We start from the raw sequence: 22,741 nt of genomic DNA, 5'->3' as shown, positions 1-22,741 counted from the left end.
TCATTCAACAACTCAGTGCATCAACAGTAGCAAAAGAGTGCAGAGCTCACAGTCTGGCACTTCCTCAGAAAGTTAAACAGTGAGCATTTGACCTAGTAATTCTACTCCTAGGTACAGATCCAAGAGAAATGAAAACATATGTCTGCAGAAAAACTTACATCCAAATCTCCACGGTAGCACTATTCATAAAACCCATAAAATAGAAACAACCGAAGTATCCATTAACAGATGAATGGATAAACAAAATGTGTTGTGTCCATACAATGGGAAATTATTTGGCCATAAAAAGGAAGGAAGTACCAATTTATGTGACAACACGGATGAAACTTGAACACAGCATAGTGAAGGAAACCAGTCATCAAAGGCTATATATTGTATGATTCCATTTATCTGAAACGCTGAGAACAGGCAAATCCAGGGAGGCAGGAAGTAGATTAGTGGTTGCTTTGAGTTGGTGAGAATATAGAGATTGGGGCATCATACGTAAGGGATATGGGGTTCCTTTTCGGAGGTGTGCATTTATTTATTTATTTATTTAGAGACAGGGTCTTGCACTGTTGCCCAGGATGGACTGTAGTGGTATGATCACGGCTCACTGTAGCCTTCACCTCTGTGCTCTGGTGATCCTCTCACCTCAGCCTCCCAGGTAGCTGGGACTACATGCATGCATCACCATGCCCAGCTAATTTTGTGTGTGTGCGCGTGTGTGCGCGTGTGCGTGTGTGCGCGTGCGTGTGTGTGCGCGTGTGTGCGAGTGCGTGGGTGTGTGCGTGTGTGTGTGCGCGCGCGCGCGTGTGTGCGTGCGTCTGTGTGCGTGCGTCAGTGTGCGTGTGCATGCGTCTGTGTGCGCACGTGTGTGCGTGCGTCTTTGTGTGCGTGTGTGCGCGTGCGTGCGCGCACGTGTGTGTGTGCGTGCGTGTGTGCGCGTGTGTGTGTGAGCGCGTGTGTGTGTGCGTGTAGAGACAGGGTTTTAGCATGTTGCCCAAGTTGGTCTCAAACTCCTGGGTTCAAGCAATCTGCTCCCCTGTGCCTCCCAAAGTGCTGGGATTACAGGTGTGAGCCACCATGTCTGGCCTGGTGTGATGTAAATGTTTTAAAGTTGATTGTGGTGATGGTTGTACAACTCTGAATATGCTAAAAAATCATTGAATTCTACACTTTATATGGATGAATTGTATGGTATGTGAATTATGTATCAATAATGCTGTTACAAAGAGTAGTGCAGAATTTTAAAATCCTTCAGACAACACACACACACACACCCCATATATATGGATATTGTCATCATTTCATTTCATGTTCATAACAGACTTCACTTTACAAAAGGGCTATCAGAATATAATGAAGAGAAGGCAACCTTGGTGGCATTTGATTGGGATTGAACAGACTAAGATAGGAAGTGAAGGCCAGCTGAGCTCTTAGAAGGATGGGGGGCCTTAAGAGTTGAAAGCTGGGCTGGCCCAAATGTGAAAATCTCAAGTTTGGATGGGAAGAAGTCAGTTTGATAAATAATAAATATACATAACCAATTTCCTCTTTTATATATTTTTTATATATAAACGCGCGCGCGTGTGTGTGTGTGTGTGTGTGTATGATATGGGGGAAAATACCAGAAATAATCTTATGGCCTCACCTATAAACAGGAAAATATAATATAAGACTGTAATTTCTTTCTTCTTTTTTTCCCTTAGAAACAATGTCTCGCTCTGTTGCCCAGGCTGGAGTGCGGTGGTGCAATCATAGCTCACTGTAACCTTGAACTCCTGGGCTCAAGTGATCCTCTCATCTCAGCCTCTCAAGTAGCTAGGCCTGTACGTGTGTGCTACCGTGCCTGGCTAAGACTCTGTCATTTCAAAGAGACTTCAAAAATTATGATTTCTTCAATGCACTTTCAATTTCCCAGCCCAAGTAATTACTTTCTCATGTAACACTATGACTTTTTAAAATATTGTATCATGTAAGTGTAGCTTTATTAACTCACTTCTGCACTCCCACATACCTATTTCAATCTACTCTACGGAAAAGACTCAACTTGTCATTTCTCCTAAACTATTCTAGAATTCAAACCATACTTCATCTAATTCTTTTTAATTCGTGAATTTCAATTGTATATACAACTAACTACTCGCCTGTAATCCCAGCACTTTGGGAGGCTGAGAAGGGAAGACTGCTTGAGCCCAGGAGTTGGAGACCAGCCTTGGCAACATAGCAAGACCCCATCTCCATTAAAAAAAAATAGTAAGCCCAGGTGCAGTGGCTCACACCTGGAATCCTAGCACTCTGGGAGGCCAAGGTGGGCAGATCTCTTGAGCTCAGGCATTTGAGACTAGCCTAGGCCACATGGTGAAACCCTGTCTCTATAAAAATAGAAAAATTAGCCAGGCGTGGTGATGTGCGTCTATAGTCCCAGCTACTTGTGGGGGCTGAGGTGGGAGGACCACTTGAGCCCAGGAGGTCGAGGCTGCAGTGAGCTGAGATTGCACCACTGTACTCAAGTCTGCGACACAGTGAGACCCTGTCTCAAAAAATAAAATAAAGTAAAATAAAAATAAAAATATTAAAAAAACACAAAAACAAAAAACTAACCAGGTGCTAGCCAAGAAAACTATATAACAGAATTTTATACTTTAATTATAATCATTAGTTTCATTAATTACTAAAATAAGCACTTAATTGACATGTAAAAACAATCTCACAAAATATATTACAAAATAAATATCTAGGCTATGAAACTATCAAAAGAAACTTTCCAAAGTTTACGTGTGTATATATATGTATATATATATTTGCAAATTCCTGCATTAATATTTAGACAAACTCATCAGACACGAGATCATATTAAACACAGAACTATACAATCAGACAGGTATACCTGTCCTTAGTAGGTCTGTGTGTCAAAACAGGACACACACATGCTGAAAACAGGTGCCATGTAAAATAGAAGAATGTTATGGAATATAAAAACAAAATAATGTATTTTGAAAATATATAAGATTTCCCCTTTGGTTAAGAATGGGGACACATAAATTGTGGTTGGTTAGACACACACACACACACACACACATACACCACAGATACAAATACAAGTTGTGTTTCCAGAATCTGGACTGAAGTGTCAGGAGGCTAAGAAATGAAAAGGGAGAAAAATGCCATCAAGGAAGAATCGGATTGTTTCACAGAGGTGCCTTGAGAAGAGGGCAACTTTTTCTGTAAATGGCCAGATGGCATTCTAGGCTTTGTAAACCACAGGGTCGCTGTTGCAATGACTCAGTTCTGCTGCTGTAGCAGGAAAGAGGCATCAGAGATGATGAACCAGTGCGCACGGCTGTGTTTCGGTAACACTATACTTACCAAAGCAGGCGGGCTAGGTGTGGCTTGTGGGCCACAGTCGCTGACTCTGCTCTAAATGTGAAAATCCCAAGTTTGGATAGGAAGAAGTCAGTTCGATAAATAATAAATATACAGAATCAACTTCCTCATGAGCAGCATAAGTGTCACATGTACCAGTTCTTGCAATACTTGTCACCTTTGAAAGGAGCAAGTGCTACTTATTAAAACCTGTCACTTAGCCCCACGAGTGACAACTGTCCATGCTGACATATCACATACATACCCTGGATCATTATCTTAAAGTTCATCCTGTCTGTTCTCTTTCTGTCACCACTTACAGCTAATCCAACAGGAAATACTGCTGGCTTTATTAGAACACCTCCAGAATCCAGCACTTTGCGATATCCCCATGACTTCCACCCTAATCTGAGCCACTGTCTGCCACCTGGATGACTGAAGAAGCTCCCAGCTGGAGCCTCTGCTTTCTTGCTTGCCCTCCTAACAGTACTTTCAGCAAGCACCACGGCAGTCCTTTAAAAACTCCGTCAGATCCTGTCTCAGCCCCGCTCAAAGCTCTGCAGCATAGCCTCATTTTACTCACACTGAAAGTCTGAGGTCCTTACAATAGCCAACAAGACCCTATGGGATCTGCCCAACTCCAAACCCTATCAGGAAGCCCTGGGACATGCCAGAATGTCAGATCCTTGGAGGGGGCAGATCTGTTTGCTTTGTTCACTGATGTTTCCTAAGCACTTTGAGGCATGCCTGCTGGGGAGCAGGTGCTCAGTAAACATCTGTCAAATGAATGTTAATGAAAATATGCAAACACTTCATCATCCCAGAGGAATATAAAACCTCATTCTCCATAAACTACAAAATGGGGAAGAACTAAGAAACACAAGGCACCCAGCCAGCTGAACAAATGCTAAATACACGGAACACACGGAAACAGCCCAGTTCTAACCTGTCTGCAATGAACCTCTGCTGAAATGGCCACAGGCTAACCAAAGGAAGGAATGTTTTTATTATTAGCATAAGAGGGATTACTAATAATATAGTGATAATTAATTTAAATTCAATTACTGCAGATCAGAGTAAAGGTACATTTCATTTTGGACCGGAGCATTAAGAGAAATAATCAAGATAAAGGCAAACCAACCTATGACAGGTCATGTATTCCTTCCCGTATAAAACACACACGAGCTATGTGGAGATTATCTGTCATACCACAGCACCTCTTGTTTTTCAGCATCACCGCTAGGCAGAGCCCTCATCAGAACAGCAGATGACATCCTGACAACATCTCTGTGATCCCTCCTCTGCCACATGGAAAACAGGCTGGCAGAGCTCAGACACTAAACATCACCAAAGACCTTGTAGTCACACAACATCCTAACCGGCCTAAAAAAGTGCCATTTTTGCATAGAAACTTCATTTTTCAGAAAAGTATATCAATTTCTAATTAGTTGACTATATTACAAAAAAGACTTCATTTTATAAAAGGGCTATCAGAAATATAGTGAAGAGAAAGCAACCCTGGTGGCATTTGATTTGAACTGAACAGACTAAGATAGGAAGTGAAGGCCAGCTGTGCTCTTAGAAGGATGGGGGCCTTACAGCTGAAAGCTGCGTGGCCCAAAGCCCTGGGCGTGATTCTGCTCTCCGCACCTAACCCTCTTCCCCACGTCACCGTTCCTAACTTCTGTACCACTACTTACTCATGATCTTTTAAAAGATCCTCCTAGGCCCGGCACGGTGGCTGAAGCCTGTAATCCCAGCACCTTGGGAGGTCAACACAGGCGGATCACGAGGTCAGGAGTTTGAGACCAGCCCGACCAACATGGAGAAACCCCGTCCCTACTAAAAATACAAAAATTAGCCGGGCATGGTGGCACACGCCTCTAATCCCAGCTACTCAGGAGGCTGAGGCAGGAGAATCGCTTGAACCCGGGAGGCAGAGGTTGCAGTGAGCCGAGATGGTGCCACTGTACTCCAGCCTGGGCGACAGAGCAGAGACTCCATCTCTAGATAAATTTAAAAAAAAAAAAAAAAAAAAAAAAGATCCTCCTTCCCACCCTGCACACCTTTATTTTTACCACCTAAGATAAGTAAGACAAAAACAATTTTTTTTTTTGAGATGGAGTATTGCTCTGTCACCCAGGCTGAAATGCAGTGGTGTGATCTCTGTTCACTGCAACCTCCGCCCCCCGGTTTCAAGCAATTTTCGCCCCTCAGCCTCCTGAATAGCTGGCTGGGATTACAGGCACCTGCCAGCACCCCTGGCTAATTTTTTTTGCATTTTTAGAAAAGATGGGGTTTCACCATGTTGGCCAGGCTGGTCTCAGACTCCTGACCTTAAGGGATCCACCCACCTCAGTCTCCCAAAGTGCTAGGATTACAAGTGTGAGCCACCGTGCCCAACTGTAAGAGAAAATTGACAATTGCATTTTTTCTGTCAATATGTTTCTACCCCAGGATTAAGACTGTGACACTGAGCATCATGTAAGAATCTTGCGGCATTCTTCTGTGGCTTATATAAATGCGTTGTGGCTTATATATATGCACAGCTGTCTCCTGTGTTACATGCACATGGGAGGAGCCATTTCCCATGAGTTAATTCAACTAAAACAAGTTATCAAATGATGTCCAAATGATCATTTTTACAATTACTGAAAGCAAATTCAAATGCTTACCAGTGACTCAAATGAATAACAGATTTAGATTGTCTAAGTATTTATTTGTTTGTATTATAGATGCAGCATAAGAAATGAATTACAAAGTAGTCTGCTCAACTTTTTTCTCATGAAATCAAAGAACTAACTAACTGTATATTTTCAAGGAACAATAATATTCTCTGAGAGTCCAGGATCTAATGGTGTGTGAAGGGTAAAGGCTGAGGCTTCCCAGAATACTTCCCGTATGGTCACTTCCCCCAGCACAGCACACAGGACTACTCCATATGCCGGAGACTCACAGCTCAAAACATGTAAAGAGCTGGGTACAGTGGCTTATGCCTGTAGTCTCAGCCACTCAGGAGGCTGACGTGAGAGGATCATTTGAGCCCCAGGCATTTGAGAGCAGCCTGGGCAACAAAGCAAGACTTTGTCTCAAAAAAAAAAAAAAAGAAAGAAAGAAAGAAAAAAAAGACATATATTATGCTGACTTAAGTATAAAATAGAATCAAAGAAGTAACACAAAAATATCTTCACTGTTTTCTCTGGTTGCAAATTGTCCCATAGGGAGATTCAATTCTATTCAACAAATTTTATTAAACATGAAGATAGTAGCATATCTTCCTAATCTACTGGCTCAATTCATCAATATTTTGAAATTTCTGACTCAATTATTTTTATTATTTTTTATTTATTTATTTTTGAGACGGAGTCTTGCTCTGTCGCCCAGGCTGGAGTGCAGTGGCGTGATCTCGGCTCACTGCAAACTCTGCCTCCTGTGTTCACGCCATTCTCCTGCCTCAGCCTCCCGAGTAGCTGGGACTACAGGTGCCCGCCACCATGCCCAGCTAATTTTTTGTATTTTTAGTAGAGACGAGGTTTCACCGTGTTAGCCAGGATGGTCTCGATCTCCTGACCTTGTGATCCGTGCGCCCGGCCTGACTCAATTATTTTTAAGAGGACTGTTTCTAAAAGGATTTTATCTTAGTCTTAATTGCAGCCAGGTTTTTGCAGTATGAGTGAAGAGCCAGGACAAAAATAAGCAAAATACTAACAACATGCATTGCTGTGTGTATTTTATATCTTAAAGATTACATAGAAATGATCAAGTTTGTTAGGAGTCTATGTACTGCCTTTTAGTTCACAGAAACATAAGAAAAATGAAAGAAAGGATAAAAATGAGTGGCTGGGCGCAGTGGCTCACACTTGTAATCCCAGCACTTTGGAAGGCTGAGGCGGGCGGATCACGAGGTCAGGAGTTCAAGACCAGCCTGACCAACACAGTGAAACCCCACCTCTACTAAAAATACAAAAATTAGCTGGGTGTGGTGGCAGGCATCTATAATCCCAACACCTTGGGAGGCTGAGGCAGGAGAATTGCTTGAACCTGGGAAGTGGAGGATGCAGTGAGCTGAGATCGTGCCACTGCACTCCAGCCTGGATGACAGAGCTAGTATCCGTCTCCAAAAAAAAAAAAAAAAAAAAAAAAAAAAGGATAAAAATGAACTCTTACCTTTTCTTATTTTGGGATTTGACTGAACTTCCAATATCACAGTTGTTACTGTATCTGCATACATATCATTAGAAGGGTTTGCCAGCCACTGGAAAGCAAAAGGCAGAATTAGGAAGTGACCTACCTAGGGTGACCAACCACAAAGGCTACAACTACAACCCACCAAACCATGGACTGTACATATGGAACTACTGCTTCTAGCATTTTCAATGAAATTAACTGACTCATTGTTTACTGAAATTAATAATACTATAGTCCTCTAATTTTCTGTAAACAAAAGTAAATGGTACTGAGCACTTCCTTTCGACACAGTGTTTTATAGGCATTATCATTTAATTTTCATAACAGCACGATTAATTTCATTTTATAAAAGAGAAAACTGACTTAAAAGTAACTTGCACAGGATAATTACTGGTGCTGGGACTGAACTCAAATTCCTAATGCTTATATTTAGTATAGTATATGACTACAGACAGAATGCGAAGAGGGTAATTTTTTTTTTTTTTGAGATGGAATTTTGCTCCCATTGCCCAGGCTGGAGTGCAATGGCGTGATCTTGGCTCACTGCAACCTCTGCCTCCCAGGTTCAAGTAATTCTGCTGCCTCAGCCTCCCAAGTAGCTGGGATTACAGGTATGTGCCACCACGCCTGGCTAATTTTATATTTTTAGTAGAGACAGGGTTTCTCCATGTTGGTCAGCCTGGTCTCTAACTCCCGACCTCAGGTGATCCGCCCACCTCGGCCTCCCAAAGTGCTGGGATTACAGGCATGAGCCACCGCGCCCGGCCAAGAGGGTAATATTTTTAAATATTTACTTTTGCTTCTCACACTAAGCCTCAGATCCCCTGGCTTTTGTTCCTAGGGTACAATCTCTGACATGTTTACCCTAGGAACAAAAATATATTATCTACTATGTAAGTATAAATGAATGAATGAATGAATGAATGAATTATAGAGGCAGGGTCTTGCTGTATTACCCAGGCTGGTCTTGAACTCCTGGGTTCAAGTGATCTGCCCACCTTGGCCTCCCAAGGTGCTAGGATTACAGGTGTGAGCCATCATACACAGCCTCTAATAGTATTTGGTAGAATGAGCTAAATTAATGTCTCCAATAACTTCCCCCTTTTTCTGATATTAACATTTTATATATTGTTCTATGTAACTTCATGTTTATAGATAACTACTCCTTTTCACTTTCTTTCTTTTTTTTCTTTTGAGACAGCGTCTCGCTCTGTCACTCAGGTTGGAGTGCAGTGGCGTGATCCTGGCTCACTGCAACCTCTGTTTCCCAGATGCAAGTGATTCTCCTGCCTCAGCCTTCCAAGTAGTTGGGATTTTAGGTGCCTGCCACCACGTCTGGCTAATTTTTGTATTTTTAGTAGAGACGGGTTTTCACCATGTTGGCTAGGGTGGTCTCGAACTCCTGATCTCAGGTGATTCACCTGCCTTGGCCTCCCAAAGTGCTGGGATTACAGCTGTGAGCCACTGGGCCTGGCCTGACACTTTCTTTAGTTGCTTTTAGCCTTATGAATCAAATTTAGACTTAAATCACAGAATTGCATCGGGACCAAAGCTGACAAATCTTTTTTGTTTTAAAAATAGAATGTATGCGAGGCGGGTGGATCACTTGAGGTCAGGAGTTCAAGACCATCCTGGCCAATGTGGTGAAACCCCATCTCTAACTAAAAATACAAAAATTAGCTGGGCATGGTGGCATGCACCTGTATAGTCCCAGCTAGTCAGGAGGCTGAGGCAGAAGAATCGTTTGAACCTAGGAGGTGGAGGTTGCAGTGAGCTGAGATCACCCCACTGCACTCCAGCCTGGGTGACAGAGTAAGACTCTGTCTCAAAAAAAGAAAAAAAAAATTAGAATGTATGAATGAAATAGTTCACCATCTACCTTGGCAATTTATATACAATTCTACCTTGGGGCATAGCAGTAGACAAGGTACCTCCCTGGACTATTCAATGATAGGACTCACTTTGAAAGTCCTTCTTTAAACTTAATAGGTGCCAATCTATCAAAATCAACCATGTAATTCCTTTGGTATCTGTCTTCCAAACTCCACAAGGTGGAGTTTAAAATTCTAATAGGAACCATATCACTTAATTTAATAATTTCTATCCTTTCCAGATTTGGGTCACTTTATTGTTGTTTATTTGAATCTTCAAAATTCTGCTCTTTTAACGAGTGGTACCTAAGTTTGTTTTAATTTAACAGAATTAAATTTTTACCTTAAGAATTGTAAAACCTTCTGATATAACTAAAGACATCCTGGAGTACCACAAAATCAGGTAAGACTTATAGGAAAGGACTATATTTATCACACATACTAAATAAGAACCCTTAATTTATTATTAGGTTTTTTTGTGACTACATAGAAAATGCTCAGCTACTTAATTATACTTAATGCTGATCCTTAAAACCACACACACACACACACACACACACACACACACACACACACACATATACTTTCCAACAATATTCTTTTTCTAATTGGGAAGAAACTAATTTTCTCTACAATTGTTCATGAACTCTTTTTAAAACTTTTTTCCCCTCATTGTTTAGGTAAATGATCTTTTCTTACTTCTAATACCACCATGCCTGGTTCTTGTATTACAGTAATATTTTTGAACACTTTCAGAGCAGGTTTTTCTTGAATTTCTAATTCTTCCACATCACCTGAAAGAAAGACATAACTATAAGATGTATATACTTTTCTGATAATCTTCCAGAGACCATTCGTTTGTTTATAGAGACAGCTAAAATAAAGCAGCTACACAATTAAAAAGTTAGTAACTCATTTGTATAGTCAATTTTTAAACAGCAAAGTACAGCAACGGAAAGGTCTGAACATGTATTGCAAACATTCAACTAGATAGCATTTACCCTGGACATCAAACATTTTATCAGTGGCAAACTTAAGTGATGCTCAAACATCTATCTTTTGTATACAAGAGATTTAGCCTTCCACTAGCATCTTAACATATAACATAAAATTTGTCAATTGTTGCCAGCTAGTTTCATCTACCTTCTGTCTTCGTAAGCGTCAACATTCTACAGCGGAATTCTATTGTTGAAGAGACTTTTCTGGTCTTTCTAGCATCCTCTTAATCAAGGACAGTTCAGACATATTTTATTAACCTTCTATGTTATGACAGATTATCCTAGTGCAAGGTTCCAAGGTTTAAAAAAAAGATTCTTTCTACTGGTTTATTTTATGGTGGTACTTCATGAGTCATGAAGAGCGTTACTGATGGAAAATGTATTTTGTAATATGAAGTATTCTTGCTCTATCAGAAAGTCTACACCTTTTAATTTAGTCACGGCCCCTCATGATGTTAATATACAAAATCTCGAACTCAAATGGTCTAATAATGAAAGCAGACTAGGTTTATTTTCTCACTGGCCTTTGGCCAGTGGTCATGAACTCTTATAAAACCTGCTGTATAGACTGGTATCAATAGAACCAGAAAAATTATTTTCACTGATCAAAGAAAAGAAACAGATAAAATTTTAGGTATGGTCAAGGAAAATAGATTTCAAACATAAGGAACAAAGACTACTAAATTTTAATTGGGTCAAAGATAAGTATTATGGAATTAAAAAAAATTTGAGTATATTTTCTTTTTTAATTTTTTTTAAGTTTTTATTTTTTTCCCAGGACCGTCAGGCAAGAATATGAGTGTATATTCTAAAATTTCACATAAAGGCAATAATAACATGATCACACATATTTATAAAACTTACACAATTCTGAGACAATTATCAAAATTAAGTAACATTCTTTTCTAGATAGAAAATTATCTTACTAAAAGACAGAAAACAATGAAATGAATTTCAGTACACACACACACCTGTCAATTTCTGCAGCTGGTAACAGAGCAAATTAAAGGGACCAGTATATGGAATGGCTTGGGTCTGCTTCACCGTGCTCATGGCCAGGTCAGTATAATCTGAAGAGAAAATGAGAAGAGACTTGAAGAAATACTAGTCCTACAAAACACATACCAGGAGCAAAGAAAAAAGAAATAAAAGCAAGTAAATGTGAACATGTTTTTCAGAAAGCTAACAAGATGCTCCTTAATTTGGTACCACCTTACATTTCCCCACTGATCTCCCTATGTCCCTACCTCTCCCCTTCAGTTAACTTCTGCTCCAGCTGTAAGAAAGCACCTTATGGCCAGGCGCGGTGGCTCATGCCTGTAATCCCAGCACTTTGGGAAGCCGAGGCAGGTGGATCACGAGATCAGGAGTTCAAGACCAGCCTGGCCAAGATTGTGAAACACCGTCTCTACTACAAATACAAAAATTAGCTAGGCGTGGTAGCGCATGCCTGTAGTCCTAGCTACTCGGGAGGCTGAGGCAGAGAATTGCTTGAACCCAGGAGGCAGAGGCAGAAGTGAGCCGAGATCGTGCCACTGCACTCTAGCCTGGGCAACAGAGCAAGACTTCATCTCAGAAAAAAAAAAAAAAAAAGCACCTCATGTCCCCAAACATACCAGGTTCTTGGATGCCACAGAGCTGGTATGCCAGCTGTCATCTGCCTTCTTTCCTTGGTAACTCCCAACAATCTTTCACCACCTGGCACAAGGGCTACCTAATTTACAAAGCTTTTTCCAGCTCCTGAGGTGCACAGTTTCTCTTCACATATGTATCATGAGCTTCTATATGCCACTGAGCAATACTGGGATTAGCTCTTCCCAAGACTGCTTCCCTCATTAGACAGATTTCAAGGGCTGGGACTATGTGGCATAAGAGTAAGAGCTCGGGCCCGGCGCAGTGGCTCACGCCTGTAATCCCAGCACTTTGGGAGGCCTAGGCAGGTGGATCACGAGGTCAGGAGATCGAGACCATCCTGGCTAACACGGTGAAACCCCGTCTCTACTAAAAATACAAAAAATTAGCCGGGCATGGTGGCAGGCGCCTGTAGTCCCAGCTACTTGGGAGGCTGAGGCAGGAGAATGGCATGAACCCGGGAGGTGGAGCTTGCAGTAAGCAGAGACGGCACGCCACTGCACTCCAGCCTGGGAGACAGAGTGAGACTCCATCTCAAAAAAAAAAAAAAAAAAAAAGAGTATAAGAGCTCACTAACTCAGAATGAAGGCACAAGTCAGACAGTGACCTATGATGCTATGAAAACTGACAGCAGGGCAATCTCACAGGTAAATACCTCACCACTGCTGCTATTTCTTTCTTTCTTTTTTGAGACAGAGTCTCGCACTGTTGCCCGGGTTGGAGTGCAATGGCGTGATCTCGGCTCACTGTAACCTCTGCCTCCTGCATTCAAGCAACTCTCTTGCCACAGCCTCCCAAGTAGCTGGGACTACAGGCACATGCCACCACACCCAGCTAATTTTTGTATTTTTAGTAGAGATGGGGTTTTACCACGTTGGCCAGGATGGTCTCGAACTCCTGACCTTGTGATCTGCCCACCTCGACCTCCCAAAGTGCTGGGATTACAGGCGTGAGCCACCGTGCCGGGCCACTGCTATTTTTTATTCCTGCATAAAGCACATATAATGTATTAGTACCATGTAAATCACCTTGAGCATAGTATTTACTCGAAAATAATACCATATTCATTGGAAAATGACTTATTGATGGCTCAGTAAATTTATAAAGACAAAGAATGCATATGGAAATGTGTATCAACTATGGGAAAAAAGCAATTTACAAACTTAAATGTAATCTTATTAGTTTTGTGCAATTTTTCCTTTTTTTTGAGATGGAGTCTTGCTGTGTCACTAGGCTGGAATGCAGTGGCATTATCTCAGCTCACTGCAACCTCCACCTCCCACTTTCAAGCAATTCTCCTGCCTCAGCCTCCTGAGTAGCTGGGACCACAGGCACGTGCCACCACATACAGCTAATTTTTGTATTTTTAGTAGAGACGGGGATTCACCATGTTGGTCAGGATGGTCTCGATCTCTTGACCTCGTGATCCACCTGCCTCGGCTTCTCAAAGTGCTGGGATTACAGGCGTGAGCTACTGCACCCTGCCCAATTTTTCATTTTTCTCTATAATGAGCTTCAATGTATACACACACATTAGAGGCATCAGTTATATAGTTGGTGTTACTTATTTGGATGTTGAAAGTTTCAATGTAATGAAAAAATTAGGCTTTACATTAATACTTTTTTGCTTTTAAAGAAATTATACAAGTTTTTGTTCCTACTCCTTTTGGAATGGTGAAGGAATACAAAGGCCCTGCAAGTGATGTAAAGGTCATAAAAAACTGAAATGCTTATGCAAAGGTCATAAAAACCAAACGGCTTCTCTGGGGAATCCAAAGTCACTTCAGAAAATAAAAGCCCACAAGTCTGTTGTAGAGGGTAGAAAACAAGGTGAACTCAGAAATGAACTTATGTTTCCAAAGATGAAGAAAGTGATTTCACCAATAATTTCAATCTTTCAGTAGTTCATGGGAGGTGTTTTTCTCTCCCCACAAAGCTAATTAGCTAACTTGCCTCATTCCTTTTTTATTATTTGTCTATTACATAACATTAGGCCACAAGGTGAAGAGAAGTTTTCATAGATTTTCTTTCAGTGCTAAGGTGAAGTTGGATTTGACATTTAATAGTATACTTACTGGACAGGTCGCAAGGAGAAAGTATGTGATAATTAAAGTTTCTTTTAACAAGTATTCCTGAGACCCGCTGGCCTTGTTCTGGTTTTTTGTCTGCTAAAAATCCCATAACCTGTAAAAAAAAAATACTTGAAGAAAATAGAACCTGGTAAAATGCAGTTTTTCAGGTAATAAAATGCAGTTCATCATAATGAAGACCATAACACCTTTGAACTATGAAAACAACATATGGATTTAACCACGAAAAACATAAAATGTTTGATATCTCTATGATGAGGGCAGTTGCATTGCTACCAATGTCAAAGGGAAGAGTCACAGTGGCAGATCTGGCACAGTTCAGTTCTAATCAGTTCAACAAGCAAGTAACTTACTAGGTGCCGGGGCTTAAGAAAGCTCTCACTAGCTGCACTGCAGTAGGGAAGGCCGGGAAGTCCCCGTGAAACGCACACATGCACTCCCTCAGGCTGGCTGCAAACTCATAACAGAGAGTGAGGCCCACTGATACAAACCTGGGAGGCTGTGGTACACCTAACACTAAAAGCAGCAGCAGCGGCTTTGAATAAAAAGGTCAATAAAAACAGGTTATGGGTGAGCTCATACATTGAGGGAGAAACATTTTTAAGAGAATAAAATAACAACCATTTAAAAACAAAAATACTACAAACGTGAAACCCACTATTCTTTTTTTTTTTTTTTTTTGAGACAGTGTCTCACTGTCGCCAGGCTGGAGTGCAATGGCACAATCTCAGCTCACTGCAACCTCTGCCTCCCGGGTTCAAGCGATTCTCCCACCTCAGCCTCCCAAGTAGCTGGGATTACAGGCACCTACCACCATGCCCGGCTAATTTTTCTATTTTTAGTAGAAATGGGGCTTCACCACATTGGCCAGGCTGGTCTTGAACTCCTGACCTCAGATGATCTGCCCACCTCGGCCTCCCAAAGTGTTGGAATTACATGCGTGAGCCATGACACCCAGCCCCACTATTCATTTTTAAAAAGTTTCATTTATGGCCGGGCATGGTGGCTCACGCCCATAATCCCAGCATTTTGGGAGGCCAAGGCAGGCGGATCATGAGGTCACGAGATTGAGACCATCCTGGCCAATATAATGAAACCCCGTCTCTACTAAAAATACAAAAAACTAGCTGGCCGTGGTGGCGGGCGCCTGTAGTCCCAGCTACTCGGGAGGCTGAGGCAGGAGAATGGCGTGAACCTGGGAGGCGGAGCTTGCAGTGAGCTGAGATCGCGCCACTGCACTCCAGCCTGGAGACAGAGCGAGACTTTTTCTCAAAAAAAAAAAAAAAAAAAGTTTCATTTATTTATTTTTCTGAGACAGTCTTGCTCTGTCACCCAGGCTGGAATGCAGTGGTGCGATCATCGCTCACCATGTGCGCCACCATGCCTGGCTTATTTTTGTATTTTTTGTAGAGATGGAGTTTCACTATGTTGCCCATGCTGATCTTCAATTCCTGAGCTTAAGGGATCTGCCTGCTATGGCCTCCCAAGGTGCTGGGATTACAGGCGAGAGCCACCAAGCCTGGCTGAAACCCAGTATTCTTAAATATAACTTCTCTCAACTGCAAATAAATGAGCTCAAAGGAATAAAGGTAGTGTGTTCCATACTTGTTTGCCTTTAAGCAAGTAAGGGCAAACAGCAACCAGGCAGTGCTATATTTGTTCTCATAATTATAAACACAGAGGGTTGTATTTCACAGTATTTCCTAGGGTTATTTTCTCCTTAATTGTAGGTAGCTTTCAGAAAAGAACCTTTGCTCCTAGGAGACTAATTTTAATACAGTGATGTACTTGAGAGAGAAAAATAACTAAAGGTAATGATTTTAAATCATTAAAATTATGGGTGAGAAACAGAACACTCCGATAAGAAACCCAACTTTTCCTGAACTCAGTTCAATTCATCTTCTAAACTGTCTGACTGCAAAACTTTTTTTTTCTCCCCACATATCCACCACCAGCAGAGTATGTGAAATACAGTTCTAGATTCTCAACTGAGTATATTTTTCTACAGGTATAAGAAAAATACTATTAAATCGGCCCCTGAAAAGTTTTGTGGACAGTAAGACTCAGGAGTAACTACGACTATTTACAACAAAAACCTCATACCCTAAGTTTTGCTAATTTCTTTTTTTCCTCCAATTCACCTTCAAGAAAGGATATTCATTAGCGTCTGCAGGTTTGGCTCATTATGTATTAAAAGTGTGTCGTAAAGTTGCTTTTTTAAGACGGAGTCTTGCTCTGTTGCTCAGGCTGGAGTGCAGTGGCATGATCTCGGCTCACTGCAACCTCCGCCTCCCAGGTTCAAGCGATTCTCCTGCCTCAGCCTCCCGAGTGGCTGGGACTGCAGTTGCGCACAACCACGACTGGCTAATTTTCGTATCTTTAGTAGAGACAGGGTTTCTCCATGTTGGCCAGGCTGGTCTCGAACTCCTGATCTCAGATGATTTGTCCGCCTCAGCCTCCCAAAGTCCTGGGATTATGGGCGTGAGCCACAGCACCTGGCCCATATGTTGATACTTAAACCTTCAACTAAATCATTAAAAGTTTGAGCCTCAGACTGGGCACGGTGGGTCACGCCTGTAATCCCAGCACTTTGGGAGGCCAAGGCACGTGGATCATTTGAGGTCAGGAGTTCGAGACCAGCCTGGCCAATGTGGTGAAACACTGTCTCTACTAAAAATACAAAAAAAATTAGCCGGGCGTGGTGGTGGGCACCTGTGATCCCAGCTAATCAGGAGGCTGAGGTAGGAGAATTCCATGAACCTGGGAGGCGGAGGTTGCAGTGAGCCGAGATGGCACCATTGCACTCCAGCCTGGGCGACAGAGCAAGACTCCTTCTAAAAAAAAAAAAAAAAAAAAAAATTTGTGCCTGTAGTCCTAGCTACTTGGGAGGCTGAGAGGGGAGGATCAGCTGAGCCTAGGGAGGTCGAGGCTGCAGTAAGTCATGAATGCACCACTGCACTCCAGCCTCGGCAACAGAGTGTGACCCCATCTCAAAACAAAAAAACAGAACATGGGAGTTGCACATATCTCTTCAACATAATGATTTCAATTCCTTTTTAAAAATTTAAAATTATATATGTAATTTTTAAAAAGTTTCTCTTAGAAGTATTTCTAAACGAGTTGTGATCAACAGAAGTAAAGATGCAGACTTCTGACAGCATCCCTCTAAAAAGCCAGCTCAGGCTTTCCTTAACTATTTCAACTTTAAATTCTGAAAATGTTACATTTCACTCTCAAAAATGATTAATTCTTTTTTTATTTTTTTGAGACAAGGTCTTGCTCTGTCACCCAGGCTGGAGTGCCGTGACAGGACAATGGCTCACTGTAGCCTCAACCTCTGGAGCTCAAGCCATCCTCCCACCTCAGCCTCCCAGGTAGTTGGGACTACAGGAGCATGCCACTGCACCCAGCTAATTTTTGTATTTTTCGTAGAGACTGGGTTTCACCACGTTGCCGAGCCTGGTCTTGAACTCCTGAGCTAAAGCGATTCGCCTGACTTGGCCTCCCAAAGTCCTGGGATTACAGGAGTGAGCCACCGTGCCCAGCCTTGATTACTTCTTTTTTGTTTGTTTGTTTGTTTTGAGACACAGTCTCACTCTGTCACTCAGGCTGGAGTGCATTGGCGCGATCGCAGCTCACCGCAACCTCCATCTCTCAGGTTCGATCTCAGCTCACTACAACCTCCACCTCCTGGGTTCAAGGGATTCTCCCGCCTCAACCTCCCAAGTAGCTGGGATTACAGGCACCTGCGACCACACCCAGCTAATTTTTTTATTTTATTTTTATTTTTGGTAGAGCCGGGGTTTTACCATGTTGGCCAGGTTGGTCTCCAACTCCTGACCTCAAGTGATCCACACACCTTGGCCTCCCAAAGTGCTGGGATTATAGGCAGGAACCACCGTGTCCGGCCGATTAATTTTTAAAGAGAAAATGTTTCATATATTCCATCATATCTACACAAACATATATGTTTAGAGATATGAGCCTATCTTCAGATTCTCAGGGAGAATGACAAGAGGTGGACACAAGGCTATACTGGCTACAGTAACAAACAGTAACAAACAGTTCTTTACCCTCAGATGTGGGTAGGAAAAGCAAGTGGGGATATGGATTAAAGAGCTATGAGATTCAGCTGCATTAAGATCTAATCTAGGCCGGGCACGGTGGCTCACGCCTGTAATCCCAGCACTTTGGGAGGCGGAGGTGGGTGGATCACGTGGTCAAGAGATCAAGACCATCCTGGCCAACGTGGTGAAACCCCATCTCTACTAAAGATGCAAACATTAGCTGGGCGTGGTGGCGCGCACCTGTAATCCCAGCTACTCAGGAGGCTGAGGCAGGAGAATCGCTGGAACCCAGGAGGCGGAGGTTGCAGTGAGCCGAGATCGCACCATTGCACTCCAGCCTGGTGACAGAGCGAGACTCCGTCTCACACACACACACACAAAAAATCTAATCTAGCTGAACATTTTCCACCTGAAGAAATGAATGCACAGAACCAAAAGAAGCCAAAAAGGATAAGGATAAAATTCCTGTAGTGTAACAAGTAGACAGAAATAAGCATATTCTTTTGACTAAAGATCTATTTTCTTAAGAAGTACAGTCTTTCCTGAAGAAAAAACATGGATTGGACAGACAGGAACCATAACCTTTTACCTTGGCTAGTTTTTCTCCTCTGAAGTTTAAGGTCACTGCTTCTGTATTCCGAGGATTATGAACCTCTATGTGAACTTCATCGTTATCTTCATATTCTCGAATCAGTGCTGCTTTCAATCTGGCCATTTCATTCTGTTCTCCATGGACTAAAATCTACATAGAATAAATGTTAAAAGAATATATGGAAACATCATTCAGCTTAATCATGGTCCTTAAGTTGAATTAAATATATGAAATATATTTAATATATGAAATAGAGACATACTTGGAAGTTATGAAACTTTACTACTTTTAAGGACCTCCAGCCGATTCAACTTGTATACACATATTCATTCTGTTTGATCCTTATGTGGTACTATTTGAACAAAGAGTAAAGAAACTTCTTTTCTACTCCAGTCTTTGCCACTAATGAGATACACGCCTTTTCCATGTTTCACTGCTTCTATGTTCACAGTTGTAAAGGGCTGACTTCTGTAGTCTCTTCTAGTTTTAAATGCCTATGACTCTTGTACAAAACTATTGCTACCCTACTGTCTTAGAAAACACCCATGGTTCTCTTTTTTCTCTTTTTGTGAGATGGAGTCTTGCTCTGTCGCCCAGGCTGGAGGGTAGCAGTGGTGTGATCTCAGCTCACTGCAGCCTCTACCTCCTGAGTTCAAGCGATTCTCCTGCCTGAGCCTCCCGAGTAGCTGGCACTATAGGTACACGCCACTATGCCTGGCTAATTTTTTGTATTTTTAGTAGAGACGGGGTTTTACCATGTTGGTCAGGCTGGTCTCGAACTCTTGACACCCACCTTGGCCTCCCAAAGTGCTGGGATTACAGGCTTGAGCCACTGTGCCTGGCCTACCTCATATATTGATATATTTTTGGAGACAGGGTCTCACTCTGTTGCGCAGGCTGGAGTCCAGTGATGTGATCATGGCTCACTGCAGCCTCAACCTCCAGGGATCAAGCAATCCTCCTGCCTCAGCCTCCCACGTAGCTGGGACTACAGGCACACGCCACCATGCCCGGCTAATATTTGTATTTTTTGTAGAGACACGGTCTCACATATTGCCCAAGGTGGTCTTGAACTCCTGGGCTCAAGTGATCTGCCCATCTTGGCCTCCCAAAATGCTAGGATTATAGGCGTGAGCCACTGTACCTATCCTAATAAAATATTTCAGAACCAAATGGAACATTTTATTACTTTATATATTTCTTTATTTAAAGAGAGTCTTGCTCTGTTGCCCAGGTTGGAGTGCAGTGGCATAATCTTGGCTCACCGTGGCCTCAATCTCCCAGGCTTATACAATCCTCCCACCTTAGCCACCCAGGTAGCTGGGACTACAGGCATGAGCCACCATGCTTGGCTAGTTTTATTTTATTCTTGTAGAGACAAGGTCTCACTATGTTGTCTAGGCTGGTCTCAAACTTCTGGGCAGTCTTTCCACCTCAGCCTTGCAGAGTGGTACGATTACAGGCATGAGCCACTGTGCTCAGCCCCAAATGGAATATTTTAGAGGGTATTTACAACAACAGCATTAGCTACCAGTCCCTTTCCATTCACTTTTGTAACTTCTATCTTACAAGACAGATTGTTCTTTTTTTTTTGAGACAGTCTTACTCTGCCACCCAGGCTGGAGTGCAGTGTCGTGATCTTGGCTCACTGCAGCCTCTGCCTCGAGGGTTCAAGGGATTCTCATGCCTCAGCCTCCAAGTAGCTGGGATACAGGTGTGAACCACCATGCCTACCTAATTTTTATACTTTTTTTTTTTTTTTTTTTTGAGACCGAGTCTCGCTCCGTCGCCCAGGCTAGAGTCTAGTGGCGTGATCTCGGCTCACTGCAAGCTCCGCCTCCCAGGTTCACGCCATTCTCCTGCCTCGGCCTCCCGAGTAGCTGGGACTACAGGCACCTGCCACCACACCCGTCTAATTTTTTTGTATTTTTAGTAGAGACGGGGTTTCACCGTGTTAGCCAGGATGGTCTCCATCTCCTGACCTCGTGATCTGCTCGCCTTGGCCTCCCAAAATGCTGGGATTACAGGCATGAGCCACCGTGCCCTGCCTAATTTTTATACTTTTAGTAGAGATGGGGTTTCACTATGTTGGCCAGGCTGGTCTCGAACTCCTGGCCTCAAGTGATCCACCCACATCGGCCTCCCAAAGTGCTGGGACTGCAGCCCGGCCAAGATAGATTGTTCTTAGCCTCTCACATGTGGTAGATGGCTTGTGGCTGGGCATAGCCAGCACCAGCACGTGGCAGGGGCTTACTGCTTGCTGGGGAAGGGCCTGGGCCTGGCTGCCTGAACAGAATCCTGGTGCTGCTGCTTATTTAAGCTGTGTAACCTTGACCAAGTGATTTCACACCTCAGTTGTCTCATCTGCAGAACAGCTGTCGGTCATGAAGATTAAGCAAGTCAGTTCATATAAAACACATATACAGTGTCCGGCACATGGTAAATAATCAATGTTAGCTAGTATTCATTACTACCACCAACACTACTAGTATTGCAATTTTATCCTGCAGCTATACTTTTGCTGGAGCTGGTTATCACAAGAAAATGAGCATGAAGTTCAACCCAGGAACTTAAACTGTCAGCAGAAGTAGAACCAGGAGAGTGACAGGATGAAATGGGGCTGAGGATGAGGTGGTGACACCACACAAAAGAGCAATTCGGCTTTTCCTCCCTGGCTTGGAAATCTGGGGGAGTGTTCATGCACACAGACAATAAGAAACACCTGGGAGGAGCCTACTCTGTGACTAAACCCTACACACTGTGATGCTATAGACAGGAGAGTGATTTTTCTTGACCAAATAATCTGCTCATTAAGGGCCAGTGGCAAATACCTGTGAGGCCTATCATGCTAGAAAAAACTCAAAAACGAACAAAAGACTGCATGAAAAGGTGCTCAACATCATTAGTCATTAGAGAAATGAAAATAAAAACCACAACGAGATACCACTTCACATTTGCTGTAAAGTGACACAACCCGAGTGTCCACCCACAGGTGAATGGATAAACAACATGTGGTCTACATATAACGGACCATGACTTCGGCATGAAGTGCTGATACATGCCACAACATGATGAACCTTGAAAACATCATAGGCATTATGATTCCTCTTATATGAAATACCTAGAATAGTCAAATTCATAGAAACAGAAAGTAGATTTGAGATTACCAGGGTTGGCGGAAGGGAATGGGGAGTTACTGTGTAACGGTACAGAGTTTCTGCTTGGAGTGATGAAAAGCTGTGAAAATAGACAGTGGTGATGGTTGTACAACACTGTGAATATAATTAATGCCACTGGTTTGTACACTTAAAAATGGTTAAAACTGCAAATTTTATGTTAGATATTTTACCACAGTAAAACGTATTTAAAAAACAACAAGCAAGGCCAGGTGCAGTGGCTCATGCCTGTAATCCTAGCACTTTGGGAGGCCGAGGCGGGCAGATCACCTGAGGTCAGGAGTTTGAGAACAGCCTGGCCAACATGGTGAAAACCTGTCTCTACTACAAATACAAAAATTAGCTGGGCGTGGTGGCACGTGCCTGTAATCCCAGCTACCCGGAAGGCTGAGGCAGGAGAATTGCTTTAACCCAGGAGGCAGAAGCTGCAGTGAGCTGAGATTGGCGCCACTGCACTCCAGCCTAGGCAACAGAGCAAGACTTCATCCAAACAAACAAACAAACAAACAAACCAAAAAACACCCCAAACAACAAGCAAACAAACAAAACTAACAAAAGGCCATTTCTCCTGCTTTCCAATACATTTGGAAAGGGCACGTCATCTATTTTCTATGGACACATGCTTCATTAGTGTTCTTCTAATTAAAAATACACACTTTTTTCAGCTTACCCCTCCTTTCCAATTCCATCAAAATATCTAACTTATTTTTAATAAGTTACACGATACTTAAAAATATAAGTAAGTCGGCCGGGTGCAGTGGCTCGCGCCTGTAATCCCA

At 42.5% G+C, this 22,741-nt stretch overlaps 1 protein-coding gene across 6 annotated transcripts in view; it reads right to left on the bottom strand.

Annotated features, from left to right (window-relative positions):
* The window catches only part of CPSF3 (cleavage and polyadenylation specific factor 3), a 49,448-nt gene that overhangs the window by 5,968 nt on the left and 20,739 nt on the right, over positions 1 to 22,741 (bottom strand). For all 6 annotated transcript variants that reach the window (NM_001321834.2, NM_001321836.2, NM_001321833.2 and 3 more), the window contains 5 exons: positions 18,784 to 18,936; positions 14,113 to 14,221; positions 11,377 to 11,475; positions 10,107 to 10,201; positions 7,516 to 7,603 (listed from right to left, as the gene is read on the bottom strand). In NM_001321834.2, coding sequence (NP_001308763.1) covers positions 7,516 to 7,603; positions 10,107 to 10,201; positions 11,377 to 11,475; positions 14,113 to 14,221; positions 18,784 to 18,936 — 544 coding nt within the window. The remainder of the gene's footprint in view (positions 1 to 7,515; positions 7,604 to 10,106; positions 10,202 to 11,376; positions 11,476 to 14,112; positions 14,222 to 18,783; positions 18,937 to 22,741) is intronic.

The sequence above is a fragment of the Homo sapiens genome, chromosome 2 (assembly GCF_000001405.40).
Source record: "Homo sapiens chromosome 2, GRCh38.p14 Primary Assembly".
NCBI classification, from domain to species: domain Eukaryota; kingdom Metazoa; phylum Chordata; class Mammalia; order Primates; family Hominidae; genus Homo; species Homo sapiens.
This window is presented reverse-complemented; position numbering and strand designations above follow the sequence as displayed.